This window comes from Homo sapiens, chromosome 4, assembly GCF_000001405.40.
Source record: "Homo sapiens chromosome 4, GRCh38.p14 Primary Assembly".
In the NCBI taxonomy this organism is placed as follows: Eukaryota; Metazoa; Chordata; class Mammalia; order Primates; family Hominidae; genus Homo; species Homo sapiens.
In genome coordinates this window covers 40,553,842-40,571,488 of record NC_000004.12, presented here as the reverse complement: position 1 = coordinate 40,571,488, position 17,647 = coordinate 40,553,842, and the positions used below count along the sequence as shown (strand labels likewise).

General features: G+C 44.3%; 1 protein-coding gene across 32 annotated transcripts in view, besides 3 other annotated features; it reads left to right on the top strand.

The window, feature by feature from the left end:
- Positions 1-17,647, top strand: part of RBM47 (RNA binding motif protein 47) — a 207,573-nt gene that overhangs the window by 59,364 nt on the left and 130,562 nt on the right. The gene's annotated exons all lie outside the window — the stretch shown is intronic.
- Positions 5,977-6,553: an enhancer, noted in NCBI's record as "NANOG hESC enhancer chr4:40566953-40567529 (GRCh37/hg19 assembly coordinates)". NCBI's record gives its function as "activates a minimal SCP1, AML or CMV promoter by ChIP-STARR-seq in naive H9 embryonic stem cells {active_cell/tissue: H9 hESC(naive)}" and the evidence as "EXISTENCE:reporter gene assay evidence [ECO:0000049][PMID:30033119]".
- Positions 8,899-9,409: an enhancer, noted in NCBI's record as "H3K27ac-H3K4me1 hESC enhancer chr4:40564097-40564607 (GRCh37/hg19 assembly coordinates)". NCBI's record gives its function as "activates a minimal SCP1, AML or CMV promoter by ChIP-STARR-seq in primed H9 embryonic stem cells {active_cell/tissue: H9 hESC(primed)}" and the evidence as "EXISTENCE:reporter gene assay evidence [ECO:0000049][PMID:30033119]".
- Positions 9,553-10,053: an enhancer, noted in NCBI's record as "H3K4me1 hESC enhancer chr4:40563453-40563953 (GRCh37/hg19 assembly coordinates)". NCBI's record gives its function as "activates a minimal SCP1, AML or CMV promoter by ChIP-STARR-seq in primed H9 embryonic stem cells {active_cell/tissue: H9 hESC(primed)}" and the evidence as "EXISTENCE:reporter gene assay evidence [ECO:0000049][PMID:30033119]".

Genomic DNA, 17,647 nt, shown 5'->3' with positions numbered 1-17,647 from the left:
TAATTTTTCACATTTCAATATTTGATTTACTCAGGACTTATCCTGGTATGAGTTACAAGGTATAGATACAACTTATTTTTTTCTAGATGAATATCTAGTTGTCCCAACACCACTTATTCAGTAGTTCCTGTCTCTACTGGTATGATACACCTCTTTTATCATTTACTAAATTCCCATATATACTTGAACATATATCTGGATTTTCTATCCCATTCCATTGTTTTGACTACTTATGTGTCAGTATTTTCTTTTCTTTTCTTTTCTTTTTCTTTTGAGATGGAGTCTCACTCTCTCACTCAGGCTGGAGTGCAGTGATGCAATCTCGGCTCACTGCAACCTCTGCCTCCCAGGTTCAAATGATTCTCCTGCCTCAACCTCCCAAGTAGTTGGGATTACAGGCATGTACCACCACGCCCTGTTAATTGTTGTATTTTTAGTAGAGACGGGATTTCACCTTGTTGGCCAGGCTGGTCTGGAACTCCTGACCTCAGGTGATCCACCTGCCTTTGCCTCCCAAAGTGCTGGGAATACAGGCGTGAGCCACCGCGCCCAGCCGTCAGTATTTTATTTTCGTATGTAGGTGTCTGTGTTGTATCATTCCACTGTTTCCTCTGTTAGTTTGGAAGTCTGTCTTTTAAAAAATATAACTTTAGCATTTACCCACTTTCTGACTCATATGCTAGTCATGTATTTTAATTCTCTTTATATACATATTTGAAATTTATTAGATATTTCTTTGTTCTTATTAAAACCCCTTAAAACATTATCATGATTATTTTATGCAGTATTTATTTAAATTTATCATTTTTATTGCTCTTCATTCTATGCTGTGTTCTCCAACTTTCCATCTTGGTCCATTTTCCTTCTGCTTCAGGAACGCCCTTTAGATCAGGGGTTCCAGGCAGGAGTTGAACAGCACAGCAGGAGATGAGCAGCGGGTGAGCCAGCACAGCTTCATCTGTATTTACAGTCGTTCCCCATCGCTTACATTACTGCCTGAGTTCTGATTCCTCGCAGATCAGTGGCAGCATTAGATTCTCATAGGCGCGTAAAGCCTATTATGAACTGCACATAAAGGGGTCTAGGTTGCAGGCTTCATATGAGAATCTAATGCCTGATGATCTGTCACTGTCTCCCATCACCCCCAGATGGGACCATCTAGTTGCAAGAAAACAAGCTCAGGGCTCCCACTGATTCTACATTGTGGTGAGTTGTATAATTATTTCATTATGTACTGCAATGTAATAATAGAAATAAAGTGCACAATAAATGTAATGTGCTTGAATCATCCCCAAACCATCACTTCTCCCTTCACCATTCTCACCCCTATCCACCATGGAAAAATTGTCTTCCATGAAACCGGTCCCTGGTGCCAAAAAGGTTGGGGACCGCTGCTTTAGAATATCCTTTAGTGGCAGTCTATTTGTGACAGACTCTCTCACTCATTAGTTTATGTTTATTTTCAAAAAATATTTTTGGCCGGACATAGTGGCTCATGCCTGTAATCCCAGCACTTTGGGAGGCCAAGGCGGGTGGATCACTTGAGGACAGGAGTTCGAGACCAGCCTGGCCAACATGGTGAAACCCTATCTCTACTAAAAATACAAAAATTAGCCAGGCGTGGTCACAGCCAATCTGTAATCCCAGCTACTTGGGAGGCTGAGGCAGGAGAATTGCTTGAAACCGGGAGGCAGAGGTTGCAGTGAGCCGAGATTGCGGCACTGCACTCCAACCTGGGCGACAGAGCGAGACTCCATCTCAAAAAAAAAAATGAGAATAGAGCCGGGCGTGGTGACTCACGCCTGTAATCCCAGCACTTTGGGAGGCCAAGGCGGGCGGATCACCAGGTCAGGAGATAGAGACCGTCCTGGCTAACACGGTAAAACCCCATCTTTACTAAAAATACAAAAAATTAGCCGGGTGTGGTGGTGGGCGCCTGTAGTCCCAGCTACTCGGGAGGCTGAGGCAGGAGAATGGTGTGAACCCGGGAGGCGGAGATTGCAGTGAACTGAGATCGCACCACTGCACTCCAGCCTGGGCGACAGAGCCAGACTCCGTCTCAAAAAAAAAAAAAAAATGAGAATAGAATTCTAAGTTCATGGTTTGTTTCCCGGCACACTGATGCTCTCGTTCTACTCTTTTGGCTTCCGTTGTTGGTGCTTAAGAAGGCAGTTGTCGGCCTGCTAGCCCTTTGAAGAAAACTCCATTTTGTATAATAAGCGTAGTTGTTTATAGGCTGTCTAATAATTTCACTCTATGGTATTCTCTGTGAGTTTAATTTTGTTTCCTGTATTTCTTCTGGCTCTCACTCATGTTGTATTCATGCACCTGGTTATCTTTGACTGTATGCTGGATCATGTATTTGAAACTGTTTTTGTAGAAATAATTTGACTTCTATGATTAATGTCCCTCCCAGACCACATATACTATCTATCTATCTGTCTGTCTGTCTGTCTGTCTGTCTGTCTGTCTATCTATCTATCTATCTATCTATCTATCTATCTTTTGAGACAGAGTCTCACTATTGTCGCCCAGGCTGGAGTGCAATGGCGCAATCTCGGCTCACTGTAACCTCCGCCTCCCGGTTTCAAGCAATTCTCCTGCCTCAGCCTCCCGAGTAGCTGGGACTACAGGCACCCATCAGCACGCCCAGTTAATTTTTGTATTTTTAGTAGAGACGGGGTTTCACCATGTTAGTTAGGCTGGTCTCGAACTCCTGACCTCAGGTGATCCACCCGCCTCGGCCTCCCAACACTATACTATCTATTAAGACCTTCTACTGTGTTTTAATATCTGGTAGTGCTAGTGGCCCGTCAGTCAGAATATTCCTGGTTAGGAAAATTCTTTAGGATCAACTTGTCTAGTTCAAATGCCTTGTTTAGTTCCTCTCCCACTTAAAATATGCCTTCCTATTTTTTTGTTCGTTTGCTTTTGTTTTTGGAGGGCAACATGTTAAATTCATGTCAATTCGGAAAAAAATTGACATCTTAAGATGCTGAGTCTTCCTATCCAAGAATATGATAGAGACCACCCTTTTTTTTTTTTTTTTTTTTTTTTTTTGAGACAGGGTTTTACCATGTTACCTAGGCTGCAGGGCTGTGACGTGATCATGGCTCACTGCAGCCTCCATCTCTCGGGCTCAAGCAATCCCTTTACCTCAGCCTTCTGAGTAGCTGGGACCAGAGGCACTGCGCCGCCATGCCCAGCTAATTTTTGTGTTTTTTTTGTAGAGAATGGGTTTCGCCATGTTGCCCAGGCTGGTCTCGAACTTCTGAGCTCAATTGATCGTCCTGCCTTCGCCTCCCAAAGTGCTGGGATTACAGGTGGCATGTGAGCCACCATGCCTGGCCTGGGACAACACTTTTTTTTTGTTTTTGAGACAGAGTCTCGCTCGGTCACCCAGGCTGGAGTGCAGTGGCCTGATGTTAGCTCATGGCAACCTCCGCCTCCCGGGTTCAGTCAACTCTCAAGACAACATTTCTTAAAAAAAAGAATATTGTTGGGATTCTTAGGTGTACATTTTATTCAGTTTGGGACTTTAGAACATTCTCTGAGATCATAACAGAGGTCAGTGTGAAGCTGTAGTTTAACATGTAAATACTCATTTTAGATCTCTCTACAGGAATATAAAGCATAACTTTATCAATGATATTGTGATATTAGATTTGTGGCCTCTGGAAAACAGAAGCATTGGGTTTCATTTTTGTGCCTCTCTTGTTTTGCCTCATCCTGAATCATGTTGGGAACAAAATACCTTAACCTTGGTCTTGATTCTGTCAGGCTAGCCCTACATTTCTTTGGTTTTTGTGGACACTGGATTATAAATCTTTCTTCAAATGTGTATGTTGTGCTATAAACCATTATATGGGCCACCCAAAAACCATGCTTTCAATGCCTTTACAAGATCTTGGGATCAGAGACAACAGTTACTGCATGACTATTCTCTGTGCGCACTGCGTGTTACTGAATTGGTGTCTTACTAAACTGGCTTGAAGTCATGGCTGGGCTTTATGATGCTGGGCTAGATACTTAACTTTTCAAAGATACAGTTTTGTCCTCTGGAAAATGGTCATAATTATAGAATCTTTTCCACAGTATTGTGAACATTAAATGAGAGAACTTATATATAGTATGTGCAGTAATAGGCACATAATAAATGCTCGATAAATGTTAGTTGTAATGTAACAAAATCGCATTTTACAGGTAACCTCTCTGAGCTTCAGCCACTTACGTAACTTTCCTAAAATTCCGAAGTTGTTAGAAAGTGACACTGCCCGAGTTCAATGTCTCTGACTCCACTGCTCTTTTCTTGGTGTCACCGATTCATAATAATTAGATTTGGGCTCAAATCTTAATTATGTTACAATCTAACTGTGTGAACATGGATCACTATTACTTATATTCTCTGAGCCTTAGTTTCTCAGTCAATGCTAGTCTCCCTAAGTCCCTTCCCCAGCTCACACCATCTTCAGAGCAAGCCCAGGGCACAGGAACAAGGATAGAGAAAAAAAAGAGAGGATAAATGATGAAGACACAGAATGGGCCGGGCCCAGTGGCTCCTGCTTGTAATCTCAGCACTTTGGGAGGACGAGGTGGGAGGACTCATGGGAGGATAAAGAGTGGCTAAGGCATACACTCCTTATGAGGTAGCTACTGCTCTTAGCGCTTTACCCGTGTTAATTTCATTTATCATTATCCACCAGAACATAGGTAATGTGTTATGATTATCCCCTTTGTACAAATGAAGAAACTGAGCTACAGAGAGGTGAAATGGTTTGCATACACTAGTAAGTGACAGAGCTAGGATTCAAACTAAGATATCTAACTCTTTTTGTTTTGTTTTTGAGATGGAGTCTCGCTCTGTCGCCCAGCGTGGAGTGTAGTGGCGCTATCTCAGCTCACTGCAACCTCTGCCTCCCAGATTCAAGCGATTCCTCTGTCTCAGCCTCCTGAGTAGCTGGGATTACAGGCACGCGCCACCATACCCGGCTAATTTTTGTATTTTTAGTAGAGACGGAGTTTCACCACGTTGGTCAGGCTGGTCTCAAACTCCTGACCTCGTGATCCACCCACCTCAGCCTCCCAAAGTGCTGGGATTACAGGCATGAGCCACTGTGCCCAGCAGACATCTAACTCTTAACGATGTTGGCCTCAGAGGTGACTCCACAGTTCATCCCCAGCATGATACAGGGCTTTTGGTCAGTGACTTATTGTGAGAATGAGCACCCAGCTAACCTGAAGGTCAAGTCTGGGCGGTGATCCCTACCACTGACCTACTTATTCCTGAAGCAGTTCTCCTCAATAATGTGTAGCCACTTCCACCAAGTTGCTCTTTTGCTTTGTTCTTTTCTCTTGGCTCTCCCTCATTCCTCCTATTCTGTTTATTCTGTCCATCTTTTTCCTTTTTTTTTTGTTGTTGTTGAGACAGGGTCTTGCTCTGTTACCCAGGCTGGAGTGCAGTGGCACAGTCACAGTTCACTGCAGCCTTAACCTCCTGGGCTCAAGTGATCCTCCTGCCTCAGCCTCCCAAGTAGTTGAGACTTCAGGCGTGTGCCACCGCGCCGGGCTAGTTTTTTATTTTTTGTAGAGACAGGGTCTCCCTATGTTACCCAGGCTGGTCTTTCGTGGGGTCAAGCAAGCCTCCCACCTCGTTCTCCCAAAGTGCTGAAATTACAGGCATGAGCTGCTGGGTCCAGTCCATTTTGTTTCTTTATCATTTATCCTCTCTTTTTTCTCTATCTTTGTTCCTGTGCCCTGGGCTTGCTCTGAAGATGGTGTGAGCTGGGGAAGGGACTTAGGGAGACTAGCATTGACTGAGAAACTAAGGCTCAGAGAATATAAGTAGTAGTTATCCATGGTCACACAGATGGATTGTCACGGAATAAGATTTGAGCCCAAATCTTAATTCCAAAGCTTGCACTTTTCACCAGGGCTAATTGTACACATACAGCCAAACTAGTTGTTAAAATGTGGAAGTCCCTCTGTGCCTCTTAGTGGAGAGCTGCTGCTTGAAGCCTCCTATGTGTCCACCACCACCGGCCAGGCCTCCCTTGCCCCTTCCCCAGGAACCCAAGGACCTGCTCATGAGCCAGCAACTAAAGGGTTAATATCCAGCCCAGCAGAGGCATCAAGGACCCAGCTCCAGCACCAAGGTTGGCTAGCAGATGCATGTTGGTGCCCTTGAGGCTCCCCTGCTCTTAACCACACTGCTGTGTAGTATCAAGTGTCATGCTGAGTACTGCTTAACATCACTGGGGGAGTTCAGAATGAATGAGAAAATAACTTCACAGCTCATTAATGAAAATGCCATTTGGGATCAAATCAGAAACACTGTGGAAGCTTAGTTGAATTCATTGCCTCCCTTGATAAAGTACAGAATGAAGAAGGTTGCATCTGCAGACAAGGAGAAATTCTCTTTGTGTTCTCACCAAGGCTGAGGTGACTGGATAGAGTGTTTCCTTAGGCCCTGCTCAGTCCCCACGTTCACTTCCGGACCTATTCAAGACACACACAAGAGAGCCCTCCTTCTAGGCCTTCAGCCTCTGGGGCCCTTGCTCAGAAGCTCCGCCACTCCTGCTTCTGCCCCTTCCTCCCACTGAGGATCCTCGGGCCTCAGAGGACCACAAGACTGGTGTTTACTTTTAGAATGGTTTCTATTAACTTGAGCAAAAAAATAAATTTTCGGTAGGGCCTGAGGTCTTGAATATCATTTCTAATATCCTCTCTTTGAAAAAGGCTTTCTGTGTCTCAAAAAGTAACTCATAAATAAACTTTTCTTAAAGCTAGACAGTGATTTTTTTGTATTCTAAAAGGACTAAATGAGTATGTTTTACTCTTCTCCAAATTCTATTGATTCCTTCCTATTGCTTCATGTTTGATGATAAACCAACAGATGTGTTGCCTGTGCTGTTTATTTCTCCTGCTTTAAAGCCATACTTCTCCTAATCTTTGGAGATTCCCCATGTATTCCTTAGGATAGGCTAGGTGGCTGTAACATAAAGACCTCCAAATGTCACTGGCTTACCCAGTAGAAATTTATTTTTTACTTAAGTAGCTTTCCTGGGTGTGCAGCTTTCCTGGGTATGTGTGTGTGCAGGTTCGGGGGTAGCTCACCTTCATAAACTCATTTGGAGATCCAGACTGGCAGCTGCTTTGCCATTTTTATCATATGATGGCCAAGGTTGCCTGGGCATTGCCATCCCAGTCAGCCAGAAGAGGAAAGAGCCCAGAGGAGAACGTGTGGTAGATTTTTATGGGCAGGACCACGTCACATCATGATGACACACACCACTTCCTCTGCATCCACTGGCCAGAGCATAGTCAGTGGTCACACCTCACTGCAATATGGGAAGCTAGACTGTGGTCTATGCTTCCATGGAAGGTGGTGACCTCTACACCTTGTATTTTTCATAATTAAAAAAATTGTTTTTTACATTATATGAATAGAGATAGTGTCTTGCTATGTTGCCCAGGCTGGTCTTGAACTCCTGGGCTCAAGCAATTCTGCCTTGGCCTCCCAAAGTGCCGGGATTACAAGGTGTGAGCCAGCACACCTGGGCTATTTTTCATAGCTTTCTTTTTTACATTTTTGCTTAGCTTTTTAGAGACTATCATAAAATATATTTTTCATAACTTTCAAATACATTGGGCAATTGCCATTGTAAATGTGCCTTCCTGAAGGGTGTACCTAGGGCCCTACCACTGCAGTTTTGTGCTCTTTTGTCTTAATTTCAAGAAGTAGCTTTGGTAACACAGCCACACGGAAAGGGGTGTTGATTACCCCTCTGGGTGAGGTAAGCAAGCTTAGCACATGGGGAAGTAAACCCAGGCTCTGCTTAGTGGACACCACCCTCTGTGAGTATTAACCATGTGTGCAGTGGGAAAGGCCTTCCTTTGGGGCCCCCAACTGACCACTGTGTGACCTTGGGAAAGTCACCTTTCTCTCTGAATCTCAGGTTTCTTATCTAGATCAACTAGCTGATATCTAAGGTATTTTGCGGTTTTAAGAGGGCACAATTCTAAGAATGCGGGCCATGGGTCATCCTGCAGTATAATACAAGCACAGAGTTTGATTTTACCGCTTCTACAGCCATTTAATCATTTTTTTAAAGATGGGGAAAAGGAAAGAAAAGAAAGCATGATGGCATTAAAGTGTTCATTGTTTCAGTGCTATTTAGGAAGCAAAACAGATTTCTGTGGAGCTAGCCTAATTGAATGGTCAACAACCCTGAAGTAATCAACCATGCTAAAATATACTCTTTTTAAAAAAGGTATTTTATTTATTTATTTATTTATTTTGAGATGGAGTCTTGCTCTGTCGCCCAGACTGGAGTGCAGTGGCGCCATCTCGGCTCACTGCAACCTCTGCCTCCCAGATTCAAGTGATTCTCCTGCCTCAGCCTCCTGAGTAGCTGGGATTGCTAAAATATACTTTTAATTTTTAGCAAGGGCTAACAAATGCCAGTTTAATACAACACATGGGTCCCGTCATTTTGGATATTTTTAGTAGCCTGTTTACCCTGCTTTGTCATTGTACTTGACCCTTTTGGGGGTACAGCTTTTTGGAGCATAATGCTCACCTAATGACTCATCCCCTCGAGGGAATTCTTTATTGTTGCTGTCGCTTCTAAAAAATGATGCAGCTCCTGAGCAGCTATATATTATCAATGAAACAAGTTTTTGCTTCTAGGGAATAGTAGTCAGAAACAGAAAGGAAATATTTCGGCTGGGCACGGTGGCTCACGCCTGTAATCCTAATGCTTTGGGAGGCCGAGGTGGGCAGGTCACTTGAGGTCAGGAGCTAGAGAACAGCCTGGCTAACATGGTGAAACCTCGTCTCTACTAAAAATACAAAAATTAGCCGGGCGTGGTGGCGCGCACCTGTAATCCCAATTATTTGGGAGACTGAGTCAGGATAATTGCTTGAACCCCGGAGGCAGAGGTTGCAGTGAGCCGAGGTCGCACCAGTGCACTCTAGCCTGGGTGACACAAGAGTGAGACTGTCTCAAAAAAAAAAAAAAAAAAAAATAGGGAGAAGTGGGAGGAGAAGGGGTCTAAAATGTAATGACACCCGCCTCCTTAGTCTGATGCAACCTCAGTGTATTTCACAGTAGAATGATCTTGTCTTTGGGACCGGAAGCCTTCTGAAGTCCCTCTCCTGGTCTGTGCTTCAGTGGGCATGATCAACTTTCACCTGTCCTCTTTTTTCCAGGCTTCCAAAAGAGGACCACTCCTTCTGAGAGACACATTTTTCTTTGATCGTGTTAATCCTACAGCCTGATTACCCACCCCTCCTGCTAGTCTTAGAGTCCAGCAGACCAGGTGGTCTCTTTCTGTTAACTTTGCATATCTTTAAATCTAGTGGATTTTGCAGATTATCACTTGGGGGTATGTTTCCTGGATTGTAACCATGGGGTACTGATTGTAAAACATGCAATTGATTTAATAATAGCTTTTTAAAATGAGTAAGTAGTCACATGGGCTATTTGAGAAACAGGTTTCAAGTCATTGAGTCATTGAGGGGACCTTGCATTGTGGACCTCTAATGAATGTTAACTGACTGGCTGAATGAATAAATGAATGAGAGAAGGACAGAGATTTCTGATCTAGTAAAAGGATATCTTACATTAAGACAACGGAGGCCAGGCGAGGTGGCTCACACCTGTAATCCCAGCACTTAGGGAGGCCCAGATGGGTGGATTGCTTGAGCGCAGGAGTTCGAGACCAGCTTGCGCAACATAACGAAACCCCATCTCTGCAAAAAATACAAAAATTAGCTGGGCATGGTGGTGCAAGCCTGTAATTCCAGCTACTCAGGAGGCTGAGGTGGGAGGATCACCTGAGCCCAGGAGGTGGAGGTTGCAGTGAGCTGAGATTGCACCACCGTACTCAAGCCTGGGTGACAGAGCAAGACCCTGTCTCAAAAAAAAAAAAGAAAAAAAAAAGAAAAGAAGAAGCAAAAAAGAAGTTGGGCACAGTGGCTTATGCCTGTAATCCCAGCACTTTGGTAGGGCAAGGCAGGTGGATCACCTGAGGTCAGGAGTTCGAGACCAGCCTGGTCAACATCCCATCTCTACTGAAAATACAAAAATTAGCTAGGCGTAATGGTGCATGCCTGTAATCCGAGCTACTTATGATGCTGAGGCCGGAGAATCGCTTGAACCCAGGAAGCGGTGGTCGCAGTGAGCCGAGATTGCACCATTGCACTCCAGTCTGGGCAACAAAAGTGAAACTCCGTCTCAAAAAAAAAAAAAAAAAAAAAGACAATGGAAAAATAGTCCCAGAAAGGCTAAGATTTAAGTCCCATCCTGCCTCTTGGGCACTTTATAATAAGATAATCTCTCTGGACCTCAGTCTTCTTTACTGAAAGTGGGTTTAACAGTTCCTTACCAGGCTTGATTGTTGGGAGGTAAAAAACCAGACACATAGTCTCCTTTAATGCAGTTCCTGACACGTAGGCAGTGCTAAGAATGTGGGAAATAGTGAGAGAAAAGGGAATAGCAGCAACTTTTTTTTTTTTTTTTCCGAGAAGGAGTCTTACTTTTTGCCCAGGCTGAAGTGCAGTGGCGCGTTCTCGGCTCACTGCAACCTCCACTTCTGTGTGCAAGTGATTCTCCTGCCTCAGCCTCCTGAGTAGCTGGGATTACAGGCGCCTGCCACCATGCCTGGGTAATTTTTTGTATTTTTAGTAGAAACGGGGTTTCACCATTTTGGCCAGGCTGGTCTTGAACTCCTGACCTCGTAATCCACCTGCCTTGGCCTCCCAAAGTGCTGGGATTACAGGCATGAGCCACCACGCCCAGCCTAGCAGCAACTTTTTAGTTATGGTGGTCAGCAGTCAAAGAGGGCATAGATGGCTGCATCATACAAAATAGATGAAAACTTCGAATGTATGACTAGGCAGGAGAGGGTCGGGGAGGTCACCTCCTGGCTTCCCCTGGACTGGCAAGTGACCAAAGGCTGGCACTGCCGGGAGCAGGGAGAGCCGAGGTGTCCTCATTCAATCCAAGGAATTGGTTGTATTGTGAGCTCTGGTTAGATTTTTTTTTTAAATGCACCTGGCAAGGTTGCTTTGAACTCTTGATCATCCAAGAGTGGTAAGAAAGTGCTGGGCCATGCACATGCTCATTCCTCAAACACCTGTGCCTTGGCAAAGTGGAGATAACCAAAAGTCTGAACTTCCATACTCTTGTGTTTTAAAATCAGAACCTTAGGCAGCACAGAAAGCATTTTAAGAGTTTTCTGCACTTTTCATGGAGTGGAGTTAGATTTTGCAGGTGATACCAGTGAAACCTTTAACTGTCAGTGACCCTGGCCATGTTAGGAAATTCCTGACAACTGTCAGACCTCTGTGGGTCAAAACTCAGCTTGGCTGCGTTTTGACAACACTGTTTTGCTGACCAGGCTGGTGTTTAACTATTGTGCCAGGGTCAGGATGGAAAAATAAGAGAGTAATATCAAGAAAGTGAGCGCGTGGTTATGGGTGAGTGATTCTCAGACCTACTTGCTAATCTCTCTAACAGCTATCTGGCTAGTGCAAGTAATTTGGCCAAAATTTTAAAAAAGGTAAACACTAGAAATGGCTTGTAATGTACAGATTTGAAGGAACAGTGACTTATCTATTTCATTTGCAGTTTGTTGTGCTTGAGAGTCAAGGCTGGGGCATATTATGTGCTGCCAACAGGAATCAGAAGTTGAGAAATCAGGAACAAGTGTTCTTTCTACCCTCTAATAAAGGGCCTGACTTCGCAAAAACAACAATAATCCTATTTTTGCACCACCAAGAGTCTTCCCGATTTGGGTGGGACCTTAGAGGATGGTGGAGGGGATATTTCATGAAACTCAAAAAATATTTGCTGAATCAAGATTTTCTCTACCCTGGTGTTGGTCACCCACAGGAACAAAGATAGAATCTTTTATATTTAAACAACACCTCAGTTTTTCTTCCTTAACAGTCTTATTTTTAAAAAATTTAGATAAGATCTCCAATGTTTGCTTCAGGCTTTCTCACTTGACATTATCTTGGACTTTGGGGCTTGAGGGAGAAAATGCAGCTTCTCTGTATAGTTTCTGAAATGATGCTTGCATACCCATGTCACTTGATTCGTTATTGTAGAAATAACACCCACATTATGGGCTAGCCATATCGTATTCTGTGTTTGTCACCTGTAATTGTTTGAGAAACACAGCCTGATTTCATGTTAGACTCACTTGAAAAATATTTATTAGGCTCTCTCCTTCTATTTGCCAGAAATAGAGGCAAAGGCTGCTTTTCCATATAATCCAAACTAGCTTATATTCTGTCTTGGTGAAGTAGCCTCTAAAGAAAAAACCATTACTGAGGGGCAAATGCTATCTATGTCATGGTAATATACCTTGTAATAGGGATAAATACCTTGTAATAGGGATAAAATAAAGGCTGGATCTGCCCTATTCACCACAATCACTAGCACAGTGCTTGGAACATAGGAGGGGCTTAGTACACATTTCTTTTTTGAGACGGAGTCTCACTCTGTCACCCAGGCTGGAGTGCAGTGGCGAAATCTTGGCTCACTTCTACCTCCGCCTCCTGGGTTCAAGTGATTCTTCTACCTCAGTCTCCCAAGTAACTGGGATTACAGGCGCCTGCCACCACGCCCGGCTAATTTTTTTTTTTTTTTTTTAGACAGAGTTTGACTCTGTCGACCAGGCTGGAGTGCTGTGGCACGATCTCGGCCCACTACAACCTCTGCCTCCCGAGTTCAAGCAATTCTCCTGCCTCAGCCTCCCAATTAGCTGGAACTACAGGTGTCCACCACCACACCTGGCTAATTTTTGTATTTTTAGTAGAGATGGGGTTTCACCATGTTGGCCAGGCTAGTCTTGAACTCCTGACCTCAGGTTATTTGCCAACCTCAGCCTCCCAAAGTGCTGGGATTACAAGCATGAGCCACCATGTCTGGCCCATTTTTTTTTTTTTTTTTTTGTAGTTTTAATAGAGACAGGGTTTCACCATGTTGGCCAGGCTGGTCTTGAACTCCTGACCTTAAGTGATCCACCTGCCTCGGCCTCCTGAAGTGCTGGGATTACAGGCGTGAGCCACCATGCCCAGCCTCAGTACATATTTTTTAGACATTTACTCATTCAATAAATGATTGAGTAAATGAATGTCTAAATGTTAAAAGTCACAGAATTCGATATAGTTTAAGTTAAAGCAAATGACAGACCAAAAGTTCACAGGGAGAAAAAATGATTTCTGAGCCTGTGTTAATGAGATATCTGTAATTTAAGAGGAGAAATCCCAAATTTCAAATATCAACTTATACAAACTGTGAGTCACTTATTTCTCTGAGCTTCAGTTTTCTCCATCTGCAAAAAATGAGAATAATAATATCTGTTTTGAGCACAAAATGAAGCAACAGTGTAAAAAGATTAGGTGCAAAACTCCACTATGGGAGCTTTGAGGAATTCAGGACGATGTAATTTACACTGAGATGTGCTTATAATCTGCTTGGGAAGACAAGATCTAACCAGAGTACACATTAAAAAAGAATAAGAAAATTAAGCAACAATCCACAACTATAAAGATAACAGGTCACTGAGCAACATATGATAAATTGCCAAATAGGATTGCCTAGGCAATAACAATTTCACAACTCAGAGGTGGGAGAAGGCCTTGTGTTTGTCTGCTGAGGAACCTCTGATTTTTTATTGTAAAATTCTATACTCATGCATTCATTCATTCAACAATTTTTTTTTTTAAGGTGGGGTTTCGCTCTTGTTGCCCAGGCTGGAGTGCAATGGTGCGACCTTGGCTCACTGCAACCTCCGCCTCCTGGGTTCAAGCGATTCTCCTGCTTCAGCATCCCAAGTAGCTGGGATTTCTGGCACCCACCACCATGCCCAGCTAATTTTTGGATTTTTGGTAGAGACGGAGTTTCACCATGTTGGCCAGGCTGGTCTTGAACTCCTGACCTCAGTTGATCCGCCCACCTCAGACTCCCAAAGCGCTGGGATTACAGGCATGAGCCACTGCGCCCAGCCAACTCAACAAATATTTATGGAGCTACTAGGATGTGGCAGGTGCTATGCTTCATGCTGGGAACACAGATGAGCATATAGATATAGTACTGTCCTCAAGGAAATTACAGTCTAGTAGGAACAGCCAGTCAGTGAACAAAGAAAGCCAGGAGTATTTAATTAGAACCCACGATGACTGCTCAAAGGGAAAGTGTACACCAAGATGTGGGTGAGAATTAAAGGGTGGGACAGTCTACTTTGGGCATTGGGGAAGGCTTCCCTGAGGAATTGACATTTGAACTGAGATCTGAAGAATGGAGGTAACCCCAAGGACTTAGCCAAGTAAGCACACTGTGGGCCCAAATGATCAGCATCTTTTACTTCCACCAATAATGAATTTAGGGGACAGAAAAGTTGAAGCATAAATTATAATTGCTCTGCATTCTGGACATTAGGGAAATATCAATTTTTAATGAGCGTACACTTTCATATGTGCACAACTCCCCCCAACGTGCCCCCCAACACACATTCTCAGGCTCACAACCCACCTGCAGCTCTTCATCCCACCTCATCATGTAAATGTATATATATATATTTTTTTGAGACAAGGTTTCTCTCTGTTGCCCAGGCTGGAGTGCCGTGGCGCAAACTCAGCTCACTGCAACCTTTGCATCCTGGGCTCAGGTGATTCACCCACCTCAGTCTCCCAAGTAGCTGGGATTACAGGCGTGCACCACCATACTCGGTGAATTTTTTTATTTTTTATAGAGACAAGATTTCGCCATATTGCCCAGGCTGGTCTGGAACTCCTGAGCTCAAGTGATCCTCCCGCCTCAGTCTCCCAAAGTGCTAGTATTATAGGCATGAGCCACTGTGTCTGGCCCTCATAGTATAATCTTAAAAAGAATGTATTAGTTTGGTGCAAAAGTAATTGCGGTTTTTGCCATTAAAAGTAATAGCAAAAACTGCAATTACTTTATTTTTGAGACAGAGTCTCACTTTGTCACCCAATCTGGAGTGCAGTGGTGTGATCGTGATCCTCCTACCTTGGCCTCCCAAAGTGCTGGGATTACAGGCATGACCTACTGCACCTTAATCTTCATTAAGTAATGAAGATTACTTAACCTCATAGTGTAATCTTAAAAAGAATGTATTAGGCTGGGTGCAGTGGCTCAGCCTGTAATCCCAGCACTTTGGGAGGCTGAGGCGGGCAGATCACCTGAGGTCAGGAGATGGAGAACAGTCTGGCCAACATGGTGAAACCCCGTCTCTACTAAAAATACAAAAATAAGCCAGACGCGGTGGTGCATGCCTGTAATCCCAGCTACTCAGGAGGCTGAGGCGTGAGAACTGCTTGAACCCAGGAGGCAGAGGTTGCAGTGAGCCAAGATCACGCCACCGCACTCCAGCCTGCGCGACAGAGCCAGACTCTGTCTCAAAAAAAAAAAAAAAAGAAGATCTTTTCAGGTCTTTAGCAGGTTGGCTTCAGTGTTTCCCAGAGGCTCCTGGGGAAGATGTTCAAGGAGGCAAAAGTTTTGATCTCCAAGCCTCTGGATGCCATTTTCCCGAAAGTGGCCATGACTTCTGGGAAGTCAGCTGTTCTGTGCCCTAACTCACCTGGTGTCATCGCTGGTCCAAATTGCCTTCACAGGTGACAGCACAAGGCCACCTTGGCTGTTCATCTTTCCGAATTCTATTTCTGGGACCCACATCAGAAAAACAGTTGAGGAATCACTGACTTTCAGATCACATTCCCATCATTCATGAGAGAGGCAGGATGATGTGGCGGCCGCAGGCATGGCCTGCAGAATTAGGCTGCCTGATTGCAGTCCTAGCGTTGCCAGTTACTAGGTGTGTGATGTGGGCAAGTTACTTCTCTGCATTAATATAAGTGAGAAATCCTTGTCGAAACCCATTGGGTCAGATGTGTTTTAGAAGCCAGAACATTTCAGATTTTAGAAAGATAATATGTTGCACGTACCCTGTGTTGCTTAATACCACTCATCTCAGGCAGTATTCCTTGATCACACCCATCACTATTTCTTCAGCAGAGCGAATGGACACTCAGACATGCTGCAAGAAACGAAGGCTGTAGAGAGTCTCATTAGAAACTAGAAAGTCAGGGGCTGGGTGCGGTGACTCACACCTGTAATCCCAGCACTTTTGGAGGCTGAGATGGACGGATTACTTGAGGACAGGAGTTTGAGACCAGCTGGGCAACATGGCAAAATCCCGTCTCTATTAAAAATACAAAAATTAAGCCGGGTGTGGTGGCTCACGCCTGTAATCCCTTTGGGAGTCTGAGGCGGGTGGATTGCCTGAGGTCAGGAGTTCGAGGCCAGCCTGGCCAACATAGTGAAACCCCATCTCTAGTAAAAATACAAAAAATTAACTGGGCATGGTGGCGGGCGCTTGTAATCCCAGCTACTGGGAAGGCTGAGGCAGGAGAACCGCTTGAACCTGGGAGGCGGAGGTTGCAGTGAGCCGAGATCGCGCCATTGCACTGCAGCCTGGGCAACAAGAGGGAAACTACGTCTCAAAAACAAAACAAAAAACCAAAAATTAGCTGAGTGTTGTGGTGCGTGCCTGCAGTCCCAGCTACTCAGGAAGCTGAGGCAGGAGAATCACTTGAACCCTGGAGGTGGAGGTTGCAGCAAGCCGAGATCACGCCACTGCCCTTAAGCCTGGGAGATTCGTTAAAAAAAAAAGGAAGAAAGGGAGGGAGGGAGGGAAAGAAAGGAGAGAGAGATGGGGGGAAGGGAGGAAGGAACTAGAGCGTCGGATTTTGCTGCTAAATTATTTCTTTAAAATTTTTTTTCTTCCTCTAGAGCAATCAGAAAGAATGCTGAATTATTTCTAAAAATTACTTGGTTTTTCAGAGTTGTAGTGCCTCTTACAGGTGAGATGTACATCTTGGAAAGAATTCAATGAGAGCATATATATATAAAGTGCTGAGAACAGAAGGCACCATGCAAGTGTGAGCTTTCATAAAGTAAACTTACTTGTTATGATGAAGCCACTGGAGACTTCATTTGTGACACCGTGGCCAGCCCACCAGCTTTTGTCTTTTTTTTTTTTTTTTTTTGAGGTTTGCTTTGCATATCCCACTTTTTTCCTAGGTATTTTCCATGCTGGGCTATTTGACTTACGTTAGAAGCAAAGCAGCCCCCAGATGTTACTGTTGTGCCTGGTATGTTGTCAAACTGCACTTTAAAAGGACAGAGGACAGGAAGTAAATGACGCATGACTCAAGTGACTGGAAATGGTTCTCGGATAGGAAGTTATCATTGGGACAGTAATGAGAGGAAGTACAGTTCAGTTGAATGAGGCCTTAGAGAGCATTCGTTCCCTGGGCGCAATCCCACTGAGTGCATTCTTTGCACCAGGCACCGTGCTGGGTCCTGGGGTTGCGGAGATGAATACGGGACTGTGCATCCTTTAAGTGGTCCCGCGTCTCCTGATGTTCACCATTTCTATGTGAGCTTGGAGAAACCAGGTAACCTCTCTGCACTTGCGTACTCAGTTTCAGGACAAAAGGGCTGGCTGGCTCATCTTACGACGAAGGCCCTATTTTACCTTCAAATGTCTCTGATCGCAAAGAACTTCTTAGTAGAGGTTGCTGGCCAACCACTGTTCAGCACTCTGAATT